The 19,097-nt window shown below is 42.8% G+C and overlaps 1 protein-coding gene across 2 annotated transcripts in view, besides 1 other annotated feature; it reads left to right on the top strand.

Annotated features, from left to right (window-relative positions):
- The window catches only part of TNR (tenascin R), a 428,402-nt gene that overhangs the window by 311,402 nt on the left and 97,903 nt on the right, over positions 1-19,097 (top strand). The gene's annotated exons all lie outside the window — the stretch shown is intronic.
- Positions 18,648-18,747: a silencer, noted in NCBI's record as "silent region_1568". NCBI's record gives its function as "represses an Ori minimal core promoter by ATAC-STARR-seq in GM12878 lymphoblastoid cells {active_cell/tissue: GM12878}" and the evidence as "EXISTENCE:reporter gene assay evidence [ECO:0000049][PMID:35858748]".

The raw sequence follows: 19,097 nt of genomic DNA, 5'->3' as shown, positions 1-19,097 counted from the left end.
GCCATTCACTTAGATGACCCCTTGTAGACCCGCCTCTGGGACAGATTGTCCTCTGTGGATGCCTCCTCCACCTGTGATGTGCAGGCCCTGCTTCAACACTCCCAGTCAGCAACCCCATATCCCTGGCCCCCTCCCCACAGGCAGAGGCTCACGCATGATGCCTTCTTATATCTTGCCAGCTGGGGAAACAAGGTCTCAAGCCTTGGAAGAAGATACATTGGTGTTCTTACCTCCATCAGTAGCCTGCAGAGACAGAGGGAGAGAGAGAGAGAGAGAGAGAGATATTATGGTCCATAAACAAGAGAAATGAATGCAGACAGCCCCCTGCCCCCTGCCTCCACCCCTGTGAGAGCTGAAGACTGGCTGATCCTCTTACTAGGTTGCCTAGAAGTAATCACCATTCACAAGCATCTGTTTTCATCAGCTTTCTGGCTCTGCCCTTGAGGGACCAGAAGACTACCACCATGACCACTACTCTTTCTCTGTGACTGTGCTGGAAAGCATGGGTTCTTCCTCCTCTGCCTGAGGCCTGGCCCCATTACAAAAAAAAAAAAAAAAGTTATTGTCAGTGGAAGCTTTCCTGGCCACCTAGGAGAAATGGTGCCCACTCCAAGTAAGCTAGTTTTACTCTGGAGCTTCCTAGGATCTAAAGGACTGATTGGATGCTAGTTCAACCCCCCATAGAAGGGAGAGAAGAGGAAAAAGGTGGGGATCTCACCTATGGTATCACCTTAGTGAGAATTTAAGCTAAGTTGGTGTAGAACAGATTGTGTTCTTAAATCTGTTTTACATTATTATCACCACCAAGGACAGTGCTGTCTACACATGGTAGGCACTTGATAATGCTTGTTAGATAAATACATGAGAACATGTCTATTGTTTCTCAGCACCACATAGTTGAGATGAAAACTTAAATACTTTTCATAACAAATTTATATTTTAAAACTTCCAAGGAAAGGATTCAGGTTCGGATTTTTCTCCCAATTGATTTATTCCTCCCTAAAGGTCCATTTGGTATGGTCCCCAAATGAGAAGGCAGTTTTAGAATGTCCAGTGCTGAATGTCATGCAGATGATTATGCAAAACACAGGCTGCTCCCTGGGCCCTGTGTGGAGCCGTGAAAGATTCCGTCCCTGGAATAGGTACTGTTATGAGAAAAAGCAGATGATGAGGTCAAATATCTCCCCTAGCCCATGTATAGATATGCAACATAAGGATGCCCAAATTGGACCTCAGATAGACTCCAAAATACTTTAAATAGTTAAAACAAAATTTTCCTTTCCATAGAAAATTATATTTTTTACTACAAAATATAAAACAACCCATTATTGCAGTAATAATTTTCCTTTAAGTAATGATGTTTCCCTGAGCCCTCTTGTCTATATGGTAGATCAAAACAAGTTTTATCTAAAGACAGTGAGAGGAAAGCAGAGAAGAAACTTGAAATATTTCAGTGAAAAACATGGTTATCTTTGGATGTAAAGGAGAAGTATCAGCCAGCATTGAAGGAGGAAGGTTCTACAGTGGAAGGAGCATGGAACCAGGATTTAGGAGACCTACATTCTAATCTCAGCTCTACCGCTAAGAACTGGTTTTTCTCACCTGTCAGATAAAAAGGTGTAAGGTGATCTCTAAATTCTGCTTTCTGATTCCATGTCTTGGAGTCTGTACTCATTGAAAGTGCATAGAGATGGGAGTGAGAGTAGTGGGAAATATTCCAGGACATAGCATGATTTCAACCACTAGAATGATCTTCCTAGCCTGCAATATGAGAAAACAAATGTTCTCATTTAGATTGTTGTCTAATTCTGATTACAGGATGCCTGACTTAATTCCTACTGAAGGAGTTAATTCTTAAGAGTCATCTAGGTTACCATTCAGCAATTTCTTTCTCACTTTTACTATTACTATGACTGCCATTACTTTGGCCATTATTTAACTTCCTCAGGCTCTAAGCAGAGTCAATTCTAAACAAAGCTGGCTGAGAATTTGTTGGTGCAATAGAATTTGTTGTCCAAACTATTGCTTGGGGTTTCAGAAACAGTTGTGGTGAAGTACTGCCACATTTTTCACCACTAAATGATAATAGATATAATATCATTATCTATATTATAATGTTATCATTATCTATATTATATCTATATAATAGATATATTATATAATAGATATAAAATAGGCTGTATCTCACATACATATTCCATCATTTTTGTAAAGTTGCACAAAGTACTGTGAGAAGGTTGGCAGGCGAGTGTGCTGTGATCAATTAGCAATGTCTGTCATGAGGGAAAACTCAGAAGTAAAGACACGCATATCACTTATTTGCTAACCCTGGGCTTCTGGGCTTTTGGGCTACCAACCTGTGCCTTCTTGGTGATGAGACTACAATGGCAAGGATCAAATTCTTCCAGAGAAAACATCTTTCCTCCATCAGTGACATTATACAAAACTCTTCTTCCATATTCTAGACCCTACCCAGTTTCTCCACCTATTCCAACCTGTGCTCTACATCCTTGGGAAGCACTTTACAAAGAGTGTTTCATGTAATATTAATCTCATAAGATGCTATTTAAAAGAAGGCCCTTTGGTTTTACATTCAGGATTCTCTGCATGCCAAATTCAGCTAGATACTAGTATTTTCATGTAGTAGTTACTGAACACTGATCATGTCATAGGTTCTGTTCTAAGTGATTTGTAGGTATTAGTTAAATTAATCATCACAACTCTATTTTGCCCATTTCACAGATGAGGAAACTGAAACAAGAGAGCAACTATTGGAGTCAGGATTCACTCTGGCAGTCCAGGTTTAGAATCTGTTCTTTTAATACCACTTGATGCTGCCTCCCATTTCTGCATTTATCTATATTTATAATCTGTATCTTTATCTATATATCAATTCTAAATCTATATTTACATATACATCTATATCTATCTTAATGATTCACAAATCATGTTTGCATGTTAAAGACTGAAAATTTCTTCTGTAAAGAAATCTAATGCTATTTAATTCTATGATTCTTTAATTTATTTGACACAAGGAACCCCTTACAGATACTTTTTTCTCCCTTTGCTTTGCTTCTAATCACAACCCATATCATAGAATATTCTAGAGCACCATGAAAATATCCTTCTGAGGACTGAGCTATAAAATGGAAGGATGAAACTCTTAAATCCTTGGCTCTGATTTCTGCTTTATTTGGACCAAATGTATAACTAGAAGACTCAAAACCCAAGGGAGGGGTGCCAATTTTTCAGGTCCCAAATGAGTTTAAAGGGAGTCCCTAAATGGGGAAAGCAGAATGGATTCTATCCCTGGATATCCAGTTAATTGTTTAAGTAAGTGATGATAGATGACAGACAAATGAGTCATGTCAAACCAAGAATAAACTAAGAGTAGTTGGTGAGCATTTCCACTTACGTAAAATGAGAATCGTGCAGCACAGGGGGAAAAAAGCTTGAAATTCAAACTAAAGAGATTTGTATTTGAGTCAGAATTCAACCAATGGTGGACACTTTATTCCATGTTATATGGCCAACATATAATATTATGCCTGGTAGGTGCTCAAAAAACATATGTTGATTTGAACAAATGTGTAATCTCGAACAATTTACTTAACCTCCCTAAGCTTTAATTTTCTCATATATAATATGAAGATGACAATAATAACTTCGACTTCCAGGGTTGCTTAGAAAATTGAATTAGATGATGTATTTTTAAGCAAGTTTTAATTTTGAAGGCTTATGTAAATGTCAGCTGCAAGTCCTGTCATCATTAACAATAATAAACTTAGCAGGATTTGAAACCCAGCCATAGTAGCTTATATCAGTTCCCTCAGCCATGTCTCACCAGATTTACGCCATGAGTAGGAGATGCTGGTCAGCAGTAGGCATACAGGGATACGCAGCCTCTAGTACAGCAAGAATTAAAAAGGAAGACCATTAAGGACAAAGAGGGACAAGCCCTAACCAAATTATCTTCTAGATCTGATGAAAAGCTTCCCTAAAAATTCCCTTAGATGCCAAGGCATTGGTTTACTGTTGATACATAATAGCTATTCAATAATTGTTTGCTGAATTCACCAACTTACACATCTTGAGGTTACTTAAAGAAGTAGAATGTCTATCTTCTTAACTTTCCCCTCAACTGTTCCTGAAAGCTACAAAAAGATAGGATTTTTATCTAAAAATCTAGACACCAATCCGAAACCCATTCTGCTGTAATGCATTTTTTGGTGCTGGGAGGGAAGTGCCTGGGAAATGGAGACAGGAAGGAAGGAAGGAAGGAAGGAAGGAAGGAAGGAAGGAAGCGAAGAAGGGAGGGAAGAAGGAAGGAAGGAAGGAAGGAAAAAAGAGGGAAGGGAGGGAGGAAAGAAGGAAAAAAGAGGGAAGGGAGGAAGGAAGGAAGGAAGAAAGGGAAAGAAAGAGGGAAGGAGGGAAGAAGGGAAGGAAGGAAGGAAGGAAGGAAAAGAAAGAGAGAAGGAGGGAAGAAGGGAAGGAAGGAAGGAAGGAAGGAAGGAAGGAAGGAAGGAAGGAAGGAAACAAAACACTTCTCATATACCTGTAAAGACCATGATAAAAAATAAAAAATAATAAAAAATAAACCATGATAAACACTTGGTTCTTCTTCATGAACTAGCCTCTAAAGCTACCCTGCCCAACACTGTAGACACCAGCCACATGGGACCATTGAGCACTGAAATGTGCCTAATCCTGTGCTGTGAGTGTAAAAATACATACCAGATTTCAAAGACTTAGTATAAAAAAGCAACATACATCACTCATAATTTTTATATGGATTTCATGTCAAAATAATAATATTTAGCTATATAAAAATTTTTTGCTATATGAAATATATTATCAGAATTCATTTCACCTGCTTATTTTTACCTCTTTAGTGTGGCTACTAGAGAATTTAAAATTACATACATGGCTCACACTCACTGACTTGTATAGTCATTGGACAGTGCTGCTCTGGAGCAATGATTTTTGAGCTGTGGGTTGTTATGTCTTGGTGGGTCATGAAACCTATTAAGTGGGTGACAACCTGTATTTTTTTTTAAGGAGAATAGAACAAATAAATTATATTAGAATGCATGGCATTGTGCAGGTCAGTGGTGCAATGGAGAACACATCAGACTAGGGATCAGAAGATTTTAGAATCCATGGCATTTAGTAAAGGTAAATATTCTTCTGTGAAACTTTGGTTTCATATATATAATATATATATAATATATTTTATATATAATATATATATAATATATTTTATATATATTTATATTTTATATATATAATATATTTTATATATATTTATATTTTATATATATAATATATTTTATATATATTTATATTTTATATATATAATATATTTTATATATATTTATATTTTATATATATTATATATATACACACACACCTGTATATATATTTATACACACACACGCGTGTATAGATATAAACACACATTAGACAATAATTACAGATGTATTAGGTATTAGGTTACGGAGTAACATGTATCTTTATGGTCAATAGAGTAAAAGTGCTTGAACATCCCTTTTCTAAATTGGCCATGATGAAACAGGACTTCCTTGAGCCAGAGTGTCCTGGCATAAACAACAAAGGCTATGATTTGTATCTGACTAGGGAGATTCAGAGATGCATCAGGTCAGTCTTGTCACTTTCAAGTTCTGCCCGTGGAAACTTTGCAAGCTCTCCTGAGGTTGCACTAAAGGAGGAGAGAAGGGCAGTTGCACCACCTCCTCATCCATCCCTGTGAGTCATAAGAGTGCAGAGGCTGGCATGGGAAGCAGCGACAGCACCTACAGTGGACTACTGCAGCCCCGGTAGATTCAGGCAGGGGAGCAAACGCAGCACCCCAGTATCCCAGGAGCAAGAAGCAACACCCCTCAAAGGCAAATTAGACCTCGCCTCATGTTGCTAATATTATCCATAGAGATGTGCTTCTTCCTTCAGCACATCTTTGTATGGCCATAAAAGTGTCCTCTCCAGACTACTCAGGGAATCTACCACTCCAAACACTTCATCCCTTGAGGTAACTAAATTAGAAGAATACAGACGCTGCGCTCTCTTGGAGGCTGAGTCTCCCTGACCTCAGCAGGCTCCTGTTACAGCTTCCTCTAGCAGCCAAAGGTCCAGTTCCAGGTTGATTTAGGACCCAACAACAGCATGGAGGCAAGTCATGGTTTAAAGAACCCTGGCCTTACAGGTGGTAGAGACTGAGGCCCACCCAGGTCTGTAATCCTGGCCTTATCCCAATGATGCAAGGCCATAGGCACCATGGAAGCTATGGCTTCCTGCATTGTGACAGCTGTTTAACCCCAATAATGCCCTGAAACTCTCAGCATTGTTTTTCACCTTACTCACTGCTTAGAGAAGAAGGGCCTGATGGACCCTATGTTCCCAGGCCCAGCCTATAGAAATGTTGAAAAAAAAATGCTACTCTTTGCAAATTCAAGTGCAGCAGTGCCAGGGGAAAATGTGTGGAGCGAAAGGGTGCAAACAGATCCCATTGCTCCCAGCTGCCATTTTACCCTGCTCAGTGGTGGTCAATTAAGGCCATTTTCTCAGCTTCGGAGGACACTGCTCCAGGAACTGACATCATAGATTTTTATAAAAACCAATTCCATCCCATGCTTATGAATTACCCAGGAGAGTCATATCATACACTTCTGATGGTAAGAGCTCATTCACCTTGAGTTCCACATGGCACCTCAGAAAACACTATCAGTCAGACTAATACTTTTTTTAGGGCACTTATTTTGTGCTAGGCCTTATGTTAAATACTTAATATCTATTATATATTAAGTGCTTAAAACCACCCTGTGAGATCAATGCCATTATTAAGTATCTCCATGTTACAGATGAGAAAACAGAAGCTCAGAGAAAATACATTGCTTGCACACTGCCACAGCTAGTACACTCAGACTAGATTCCAGACTAGATTCTGTTGAGTGCCTCCTCTCCTTCTGGCTCTGACCCTAGTAGTGCTAATCCAGAGCTGTATGATTCCCAAGCTCCACACCTATGGCACAGTCTTGTCTTCTACTTCAAGTATTCTTAATATAAGGTCTTCGACAGTGGTTTCATAAGCCCAAAATAGCATCCACAAATCTGAGCCTTGAGGTCTGCTTATAGTGTTTCGGGTGAGAATTACTCCAAGAATCTCTCTAGAGGGCAAGAACCCATCCTCCCCAGGCCCCCCAGGTCTGCTGACAGATACAACACTACTAGAGCCCTCTGGCTTGAGTCACCCTCCAGGGTCTTCAGCTTGATATTTTTTGCTTAGTTTCCAAGTATCTGAAGCTCTTTCTGAGCACGTGCTCCAGACAGAAGCCAGTGGTTACTGTGCTCCACTCACACTTGGCCACTGTCCGTTCCAGCCCACTTTGAAGCTTCTGATACTCTGGCGGCAACTGGCTGGTGCTGGGTAGAGAATGGGAAGCAGGGGGTTTGCATCCCTATGTAGCCTGTCTGCTGGGCCTCCAGTCCTGTAACTCCCATCCTTGCTGACATTTCTCTTCCCCCAACCTTCAGGTCCACTGGCCCAAGGGCCCTGCTGTTCAGATTGGTCAGAAACCCCAGAGTCAGGGAGAGCAGACCTTTCCCTCCCACAGGACTTTCTCTAATCAGCCCAGTTCATTATTCTAATCAGGACCAAACAAAATGCCCCCTACAAGAGCTGTGGGGTTTAGACACAATTCTGCACACCTGTTAATGGAGAGGAAGCTGGTCACCTCGTCAACACTTACCAAGGCTCCTCCACTGACAGAGATGTGTGCTTGGTGCCAGGGCAGAGGGGAAAATACAGAAGCTTTTCCCTTGTTGGGAACTGCCCAGCTCCCACCACTGCCTGGCCAGGCCAGGCATGTCTGACTTGCTTGACAATGCAGCCCGGCTTCCAATGCAGACTGAAGTCAACCTTAGACCTGTCTTCTGGGCCTGCCCGAGTTGGGGCACAGTCATTGGGCAGTGCTTCCCCGGAGATAGCAAGACCAAGGACTTGTTGGTTTAAAGTATTCATTCGAAATAGGGTGCAATCTCAATTATGGAAATTAACACAGATTAAAAAGTGGAAAAAACCCCACCAAAATCAGTAATTAAAAATACAATCTTTCTGTATGTTCTAGTTATTCTATAATAAATATGTATAGATTTTCTAATCAGAAAAAAACTTTTTTTTCAATATAGACTTACTGATTTATCTTTAGGGCCTTGGTGCAGGGATTCTAACCCCCAAGGCCCATAGCTTTTGGCTGGCACACTCACATCCAGACCCCTGGAACTCGTGGGATTCATACCTGGTTCTGTTGAGTGCCTCCTCTCCTTCTGGCTCTGACCCTAGTAGTGCTAATCCAGCTCTGTGAGTTTCAGTTGACCCTAGCTGCACCCTATTATGTGGCTTTATCCACCCTAGTTCCGCAGCCCCATGCTCCAGCCCTGCTCAGGCCAGCCTGCCTTGACCTTGGACTGTGATGCTTGCCTCTGAAGCTTCAGGTCCAGCTGCTGTATCCAGGTGGATTGTTCCAACCCCTGAATCCCCTCTGGTTTCTTAGGGTCTAGTTTCAGGGACCACACAACACAGGAAAAACCAAGAAATATTTTAGGAATCCTCATGGATCCTAGGGGATTGAGATCTCGATTCACATCCTAGTCAGCCCCACTCTGGAAAGCAGGGTTGACCATTCCCTGGGAGTCACTGATCATCTGCATGAAGCAATTGTACTCATCTATACCCTGGGTCAAGAAGATGCACCACAAATGCCACCATGGGATTTGTCACTCAGAGTCACCCAAGCATCCTCAATTCTGCTCAGTTCAACAATTAATTTAGCACCCAGTGATGACCCACCCTCCCACTTGCACCCCTGCTAAGGCTGAGGCTGAGGAAGATGGAGGAGGAAAGAAGACCCCACAGCTGGATGGCCCATAATGAACCTCTGGCCCATGAGGAAATGAACACCAGGTGCTTCTTTATATTTGATGTATTAACAATACTGATACCTTCCCATCAATTATGTGCCACTTTGTAGCTTATGAAATGCTATTGCATATATTTCATTCTCACTATAAATAGTCCTCACTTCACAGATCTGAAAATTGAAACTTGGAGCAGTCACACGACTTGCTCAAGCTCATAAAGCCCGAGAATGGAAGTGGCACGAGAGACAGATAGGCATTGTGTCTCCAAAGCAGGTGACCTGTTCACCAGGCAATGACCCTTCTCTAGAATCTCCCTGATGGAGACCCCTGGAGAGGAGTACCTATGACCTAGCTCACAGCCAACCACCTCATCAAGTCCAAGGACAAAGAAGGCCAAAGATCACTCCATTTCTGAGAAGCAGGTGCACCTATGAGAGACAAATAGGGCCTGTGTAATCCAGGAAACCAGTTTCTCAGTGAAGATGGACATGTGGCAGGGAAAGACAATTGGGGAGTGTGGATGGTCTGACAGGTACCAAGGTCAATAATAAGAAACAATGTGACAGGCAGCTGTAATCAAGAGAAACTGGGGTTAGGGGGGAGACCTACAATCCTGGAGCTATCAGTGAGAGAGGCTGCAAAGTGGGTAGGCAGGAAATTTGTTACCCAAACAATAAACTGGGCCAATGGCTAGCATGACAGTGGGTCCCAGCCCTCTCGGGGCCACCCCACACACTCCCAGCAGCAGTTCTCCCAGATAGCACTGCAGAGAGAAAAATTCCAGAAGCTTGGGAAGCAGGAAAGACCAATTTGTGGAAATATGCAGGACACCTGGGTAGGTAAGGATGGCTGGAACCACATCACGTGTGTGTATATGTATTGAAAGAGAGAGAGAGGACCTATTAGACTTTGGGCTCTATGCTGAATGCTGCGATAAAAGATAACTAGATTATAGACTCTGCCCTCTAGGGACCCTCCAGGGGGAAAACAAACAGCTCTGCAGATAACTATTGTGATAAGTGTAAAAACAAGTTCTGCTGGAGCTCAGAGAGGGAGATGATTGTCACAAATTCTTATAAGAAGACTTCCCAATCAACTGCATACAGCTCTTGACATTCAAAGACTATGGAATCAGGCTGCTTAACTTTGAATCCTGGTGCCCTCACCTAAAGGCTTTGTGACTTTTAGACAAGTCACTTAACCACTCTGTACCTCAATTTCTTCAATTGCTGCATCTGTAAAATGGGATAGTAATGATGTGATATGACTGCTGTGAGGATGAAATGAGGTAATATATGAAGCCCTTAGAAGATTGGTTGGCATGTGCCTGGACAATGCACATGTCAGTCTAAGAAAGCCCTTCCTTTCCTTTCCTTCATGGCACAACCCCACATGCATATTGGGACAGGGCAGAATGCACAAGCTCTGGGGCATATAATCATATCTGATCAGTTTAGCTTGAAGCTGGTGGGTATGTTCCCTTCCTAATCAAATGCAGCTGGTTTGGGCAAACCTAGCCACCAGTCCCACGTTTTTGGTCATGTAGGAAGAGCCCAGAGATCTTGTTATTTTGGAGAAAGGCAATAAATATTCCTTGTTGACTTAATACTGTAGACTTATCTTACAGATAAAAAGTTTGGATCATTCTAGACACATTTGTGGGTCTAGACTAATGAAGGTATAATATTCTAGAATGGTAGAAAGACACGTCACTGACTATCTTATAATTATCTTCTAACAGCCCCTGATGAATATAACATGGAAAATAATCAAAACCATTCTTTTAGGAAATAGCTCACCTGCTTTGGGCTTTCTATTTAGTGAATAGAACTAGTGTCTTGCTCAGCAGGGGAGCAGGGGAATGCTTTTATAATGATTTCCCTGCAGCAATCCTGTTTGATAATGCAAACTAGGATCAAAGCAATAGGTTTTCCTATTAAGTACTCCAAGGAAAGAATCAAGTGTTGAGTTGTTGCTAGGGAAATCTGAGAGCCTCATGGGGCCTGGTGATCCAGTCCTGGAGAAGGAGAATTGTTGAGTAAATCCATAGAGAGAAACAGCAAAGTTTCCCTCCGCAATGACTGGCTTTGACTTCACTCACTCTCATCTCGCCCTCAGCTGCAGACTCAACCCATGTCCAGCTCTGCTGCTTGGAGTCAATGTTGGTGAGCTCCCACACCCCCACCTCAGCTAGCTGCTCACTAAGGCAACTATAAGTGTCCAGAAAGCAGAGAAAGTAGAAGGCTGAAACTTTAAAAAAAAATTCAGAGAGCGTATTCTTCCTGAAACACAAAGATAAATAATTAAATAAACCTGCACCTTTATTATTTTTTTAAATGTCACTGTATTTTTCCAATCTCCCTATGAGAAAACCAAACTAAAGAAAATGTGAGCTGGATTCCTTTTTACACTGTGAATTTCTCAGAGATAGCATACATTACCCTCAGAGCACTTCTTTACTACCAACTTCATGGCTTGTTATCCATAGGATTGAGCCTTAGTTTACTCATCTGTAAAGTGGAGCAATACGCCCACCTTACATGCTTTACAGAATTGGTAGAGGAATCAGTCGTGATTATGAAAGCACCTTGAAAACTCAGATGAGCTCTACAAATACCAGGTGTTCTGTTATTCTGACTCATTTTAGTGCTTTTCAAAAGGGGAAAGGTAGGAAGATCAATGTGAGAAAAAATGTTGAAATCTTTTACAGGCAATAAATCTTCTTCTCTGCTACAGCATGAAGCCACACTGAACCAAGTCCACTGTTAGGTTAGTTGAAGGCTGTTGTTAAAATGAAAATGTCACTGTTATTTATGGTATAAGGCTTACCTGTTTCCAAATAGGTTTTCAGAAGGCATTAATTTATTGCCAATGCTGTATCTTGTATCACTTTGGCATTTGACTACGGAGGGAATGAGTCACAGAGGAAAGTAAGTTTTAAATAGACTTGGGGACAGGAAGAAACATCTGGATTAAACAGCCCCTCCAGGAAGTCAGATTCCTGTGGGTACCTGCAGGGACAGGCACAGGACAGCCACGGGTTGGTCAGTGAGGGAACTGTGTCCAGGTGGTCAGGTCTCGTTGAAGTTGAGCCCCAAAGAGGTGAGAGATGTGGGTGAGAGGCTACCAAAACCTGGAAATAGAGTCTGCTCAGTGGTGTAGAGAAGGTCACCTTGAGAGAAGCAGTGCCCTTCAGCCAAGGGGCACAGCCAGCCCGAGGCAGCCTCCCAGGGAGGCAGCGAGGGCCTGACTCTCCTCCACACCACGCCTCTCTGGGTGGAGCTCCCCTTCGGCAGAATGGGAAGCTCCAGGGCAAGGTAGCCTGCTGGGAAAGAGTGAAGCTCTGGAGCGGCAAATTAAGAGTTCCAAGGAGTGTGTGTGCCAAGAGAAGGAGTCCCACACAGCAGTGCACTGCAAAGGCTGAGGGAGAAAGGGAAGTTGTGCTGAAGGAAGAAGAACTCCAGTAAAAGGGGACTGGGGCCAGGTGCGGTGGCTCACACTTGTAATTTCAGCACTTTGGGAGGCTGAGGTCGGTGGATCACCTGAGGTCAGGAGTTTGAGACCAGCTTGGCCAACATGGTGAAACCCCTTCTCTACTAAAAATATAAAAATTAGCCGGGCGTGGTGGTGGGCACTTGCAGTCCTAACTACTTGGGAGGCTGAGGCACGAGAATTGCTTGAACCCGGGAGGCGGAGGTTGCAGTGAGCCGAGATCGTGCCACAGAGGAATTGGACACCATGCACAAGTTATTTCAGATATAAACCCCAAGCCCCCTGAAATGTTCTGCATCCCCTTAGTGGGTTTTTTTAATAACCTATATGGATCCCACACGAACTTTGGGAACCCTCAAAACGTGCTCTGTTTATCAACATCCCTCAGAGCCCAGTCAGTGCCATCTGTATTCTTACGCTGTCAGAAAGGCAGCTGCATGTAGCTAAATGGTCAATTCTTGTCTTTATTCAGATTGAACACATTTAAAAGTCCAATATTTTACAATATATATCCTAAATTTAGCAGTTAATAAAAGAACATTTGAATTCCATTGGCACCCCTTTTAACAATAATGAACAAAGATGATGCAGTATAACTTAATGGAGAGCAAAATGCATTTTGTCAAGAAAGTGAGAGAAAGGGGATTTAAGAAATTATGTACCCTGAAGAACCATTCTCCAAAGTAATGAGGAAGGCTAATCTGAGCCTTACTGACTAAATAACTGCAAAATAAGATAAGCGATAAGAAAAAAATCTTTTATGTTTTTCAGGTTGAAATTCATCTTTGGGGCCAATTGCAACTGCAGACATCAAAGGGCCTCTTAATCATGTTATGCCCTGCTTTGAAAACATTGCTGGCTCAACAAGCACACAGATACAAAGCAAATTTCTAAAAATGCCAGTCAGGGATCTCTGACATCTTCTTAGTACACTTCATCCCTGAATACAATCACCCCTACATTGTACTATCCCAGGAACCAAGCCCTTCTACAAACATGACTCCCCTCATTCTCTACTCTGCTTCAACTGCCTTTTTTTTTTTTTCTCTCTCTCTCTCGCTCTGTCACCAGGCTGGAGTGCAGCGGCACAATCTCGGCTCACTGCAACCTCCGCCTCCCGGGTTCAAGCAATTCTCTCATGCCTCAGCCTCCTGAGTAGCTGGGATTACAGGCGTGTGCCACCACGCCCAACTAATTTTTGTATTCTTAGTAGAGGTGGGGTTTTGCCATGTTGGCCAGAATGGTCTCAATCTCCTGACCTCGTGATCCATCTGCCTTGGCCTCCCAAAATGTTGGGATTACAAGCATGAGCCACTCCGCCCGGCCTCAACTGCCTTTTCCATTGCCTCCTCCTTTCAAAATCTTTCTCATTCTTCAAGACCCAGCTCAAAAGCCATCTTTTCCATTAGTCTTTCTCTAGAGAAGTCTTGCAGTTGAAATGCCTCCTTCTGCTGGACTCCCAGAAGAAGTTCCCATACCTCTGGTATGGTACTTCTCATGTCCTGCTATTTATGCTTGTTATATGAATATCTTTCTCCTAGTCACACAGGGGGTCGCCTGAGACTTCTCTATCCTGACCTCAACATCTAGAATGGAACCTAGTCCTGTTCCTGGCATGCAATCAGTGTGTAACTGAATTTAATTAAGCAGGTTTTGCTCCATATACCAGTACTCTCAGAGCTTCCTCAAATTTCAGGTAGAAAATAATTATGTTATTTCATGCACTAGAAGGTATAATTCACCTGCTTGTAGTCTTTGGGTCAGGGCGGTGCTATTTAATGCTCTAAAAGACATAATGTACACAATGAAGTAAATAACTCATTTAGACCACTAGAGCTGAACTTTAATACATTGCCACTTCTAGCACACAAGTAATCTGAAGAAACGAATGGCTATCCAATATATGAAAGCAATTATTTGCTTCCTGCTGGAAGGATCAACTCCAATATAGTTATGCTATATAATTGGAAACAGCATGAATTTGATATTTGAATCTGTCATTTGATATTTTTAGGGCAGATAAATTTATCTGGTATTCTGGATGTGGATGAGTACAATTTTCAAAGGTGACTATTCCTAAGATTTGTTTGTTTCTAAAGGGTTTCAATGTTCTAAGAAAAAAAAAAGCAAGCAATCAGTTCCTACATTTACAGTTATAATTACTTGGAAGTTCTGAGCCCATGTTTAGCACATATTAGTAGTGTTTCCAGAGCTTGATATCCAGTGGTCCATCTGCTAATACGTTAATATGCGACCAGTCCCTTATCTAACAGGCACACACCAAGTGTGTATGTATTATTTTCACTGTTAATCAACTTTAAGCCTTCATGAAGACTGAAGATGGTCCCTTCAGCAGCCATACTTCCTTTCATTTGGCCTGGGGGCTCCAGTTAACTTTGTTGATTCTATACCCTTTGCCGCCCCCTCTCCCACCCACTGCCCACAACTCCTCTCCACCCTCCACCATCCCCCTCCATCTGGACTCGGATACCATCTCTTCACAAAGCCTTCTCCAGTCACGTCTCCCACACTCATCTCTGCTCACCTTTAAAACACTAATTTTAAATTAGTAATGTTAATTCAATACATAAAAATGGACTGGCTTGCCTTGTTCTTCAGTTTCGTGTGTATTAGCCTAGTCTTCTCAACTAGATTATAAGCCCCATGAGGGAAGAGACCACTTCTTAGATTTCTTTCTTTCTTTCTTTCTTTCTTTCTTTCTTTCTTTCTTTCTTTCTTTCTTTCTTTCTTTCTTTTTTTGAGATGGAGTCTCGCTCTGTAGCCCAGGCTGGAGTGCAGTGGCGCAATCTTGGCTCACTGCAAGCTCCGCCTCCCGGGTTCACGCCATTCTCCTGCCTCAGCCTCCCGAGTAGCTGGGACTACAGGCGCCTGCCACCACGCCTGGCTAATTTTTTGTATTTTTAGTAGAGACGGGGTTTCCCGGTGTTAACCAGGACAGTCTCGATCTCCTGACGTCGTGATCCGCCCGTCTTGGCCTCCCAAAGTGCTGGGATTACAGGCGTGAGCCACCGCACCCGGCCCACTTCTTATATTTCAAACCAATTTCTCAATCTGTTCTAAGGAGTGTGGGCAGGAAACAGAAACCATCAACTTGGGCTACAGTCTGGCTGGCAAACTTTCTTGCAAAGAAACTTTCTTTGCAGTTGTATTAAATGTAGAGAAGAAAAAGATGAAAGGTAATATGACTCTTCAAGAAGAATAATTGAACAGTGAATGGTGACATGCTGTTCTCCAAGCTCAAGAAACACAGATGAAAAATAGACATTAATGATAGCAAAAGGTCAGGTGCTTAGGAGAATTTCTGACCAAAATGGTGTAGATTAATTAGGAATTCATTATTTATATCCTACCTACTTCCCAAGGATAGAGGCAGCTGCTGAAGGGAGGCTATGGTGTCTACTACTGAACTGAGAGCCTAGAAATGTGATTCAGGACTTAGTCTGGCTCTAACTTACTGTGTGTCTTGGGCAAATCATTCCCATACCCTCATCTATAAAATGGGAATAATCTCATCAATTCTTGTGAGGATTAAATGGGATCATATACAATATGTTTATGTGTGTATGTGTGTCTGTGTGTTTGTATATGTGTTTTATATATATAGTGTGTGTGTGTGTATATATATATATAATTGTCAGAAGCTTTACAGATGTTAAGAATTCTCTGTAGCCTATAAAAATCAAATAAATTCTCACTTAAATTAGGTTTCTATTTATCATAGGGAAACCTAGTCCATGCATCATAAAATTTAAAAGCTAAAGTTACAAGACAGACTTTCTATCAACAGCTGCCTAAAAAGAAATAGGCGCCCCCACCCCCAGCAGTAAGATTTGCCCAGCCTTGCCAGTTGTATTGTAAGTGGGTACCCCAAACTAGCTGACCTCACCTTCACTTCCAATCTTCACTTCCAATCATGATATTTTCATTACTCCGCTGGTATCATTCCCTTGATTGATACTCAAGATCCCATTCTCCAGATGAAAGAGTGTCTCTGTGAAAGGTAATGTCAATTAGAGTTCTCCCAGGTAGTACAAGGCAGAACCCCAGGACAAGACCAGAAGCTGGGTCCCATATACCACCCACTGAGGTTTCTCCTAATCCACACTGACACGAAGCCACGAACATGCTGGGCTGACCGCATGTGCTGAAAAATGAGTGTGGATCCATTAGGTTCTGAACCAAAGACCCTTCCTGCAGATTCCCACATGGGGATACATCAAACAGCACGTGGTCAGGGGCGTTGGGCAGCCGCGCCTAGTGGGAGGCAGCACCCAGGCTGGCCCAGCACATCCTCCCACACCATTCCATGTCCTTGTTGACAGCTCTGGGCCAGCCATGGAGTCCTGTCTGCTGGGAGTTTTCTGCCCTCGGGTTCTTTTCAGAAATCTGACAGGCCCAATAAAGGCCCAGCGCTGATGGAGAGGAGCTGGCTCCGAGTTCTCCCAGCAGCCCAGCGCTGCCTCCACTGACACAATGGGGCCGGCTGTAATCACATTACACCCTCGTCTTTCATAATTACCCTCTTTCTCCAAGTGACAGAGCATCCCAACGGCAGGGAGGAAACTATTTTTAAACGAATTCTAACAAAAAAAAAAAAAAAAGCACAAAAAAAGAGTGTCATTTTCCACAGATATAGTTCTGGTTTATAAATCACCCCTAAGGACGGAGTGGGGACCACAAATGGCAGAAGCTGGAAAATCCAAATCGAGCACCAGCCACCCAACCCCAGGAGGTCACTTCTCCTTCCCTGCCCAACAACCTTCACGCTCATTTCATTCTCCCTCCTGCACCTTTTTTTTTTTTTGCCCTGAGGCCCCACTGGCCCATGTTGGTATTTTCCACCCCATTTTGACTCTGGGAAAAAAAGAAAAAGAAAAGAAAAAAGCTCAAAGGCATGTGGATACCTTCTAGCTACTTCTTTTCCTCCTCACCTTCCCAGTCCTTCCTCCCAGTCCCTCAAAAGTCAGAGGAGGTCATGTGGGGGAGGAAGAGGAAAAGAAAAACAACTTTAGGTGGGACACAAGCTTCAGCCAACCTGGGTGACCCAAGTCTCTCCCCACAGGCCTCCCTAGAGGGGAGTGAGCACCTCATTAACAAGGCACTAAATCAGCCTTGAGGACAATCTTGCTATCCACCTCTTACAAATTACCCGGAGACACCTCTGGTGCTGGCCATGATAATTATATTGATAAGGAAGCTGGAGTGGAGGACATGAATCAATGGAAATGCACGGATCTCTTGAGTATCAATCTATCGAATTACTGCAACTCTCTTGCACTCCCATTTGTAGGGTCATTAACCATCTGTCTTGCTCACAACTGTTAGTGTATCGTTGAGCCTTGGGTGTATTATCCATCCCTCAGGTTTATATTTTCACAGTCCACCTGCGAAACTCTTATTTGTTTCTCCACCAGCCTGGCACTCTTCCATTTTTTTTCTCCTCCACCTTCTCTTTTTTTTTTCTTCCTTCTCTGTTTTTCCCTCTTTTTCCCCTGTCTTAGTCCACTTGGGCTGCTAAAAGAAAATACCGTAAACTGGGTGGCTTATGAGCAAAAGAAATTTATTTCTCACCATTCTAGAAGCTGGGAAGTCCCAGGTAAGGAGTATCCTTACCTCTCTTTTATTTTGAGATAGGATCTTACTCTTATCACCCAGGATGGAGTGCACTGGCACAATCTCAGCTCACTGCAGCCTCAAGTGACCTTCCCACCTCAGCCTCCCAAGTAGCTGGGGCTACAGACACACACCACCATGCATGGCTAATTTTTGTAATTTTTGTAAAGGCATGGTTTCGCCATGTTGCCCAGGCTGGTCTCAAACTCCTGGGCTCAAGCAATACACCTGCCTTGGCCTCTCAAAGTGCTGAGATTACAGGCATGAACCACTGTGCCCAACTCTCTCTACGTCTTTTATAAGGGCACTAATCCCATTCATGAGGGTTTTGCCATCATGACTTAATCACCTCCCAAAGCCCTTACCTCCTAATGCCATCCTCTTGGGAATTTCAGCATATGAATTTTGGAGGGACACAAACATTCAGACCATGGCATCCTGCTTCTCCTATCCACCATTTTATCTCTTTAACTGGTCTATTTTGGTTCTAGTCCTGGACTCTTACTCATTCTAGTCTCTTTGACTCATCTGAGATACAGGAAGAGAGTGAAGGGCAGAGAGGAGGCTCTGCTAGTCCCCTCGAGCCTTCTAAGTTGTTGCCTTTGGAGACAGGTTTTGCATGTGGTTTAAACATTACCCACTGCCTCATACCAAAGACACAGAATGGGTCCCAGAACAAGTGGGACCTCTCTAAAGGAGATGAACATATCCAATGCAGCACTTCCAGACATGCCACAGCATTAGGCCACGCCTTCCTCATGGCAAGCTGCAAAATCTGCCCGACAGCATCACTAAAAAGTGCCAAAGAGGCTGAGCGCGGTGGCTCATGCCTGTAATCCCAACACTTTGGGAGGCCGAGGCAGGTGGATTACCTGAGGTCAGGAGTTCGAGATCAGCCTGGCCAACATGGTGAAACCCCATATCTACTAAAAATACAAAAATTAGCTGGGCATGGTGGCACACGCCTATAATCCCAGCTACTTGGGAGGCTGAGGCAGGAGAATTGCTTGAGCCTGGGAGATGGAGGTTGCAGTGAG

Source organism: Homo sapiens, chromosome 1 (genome assembly GCF_000001405.40).
Source record: "Homo sapiens chromosome 1, GRCh38.p14 Primary Assembly".
NCBI classification, from domain to species: domain Eukaryota; kingdom Metazoa; phylum Chordata; class Mammalia; order Primates; family Hominidae; genus Homo; species Homo sapiens.
This window is presented reverse-complemented; position numbering and strand designations above follow the sequence as displayed.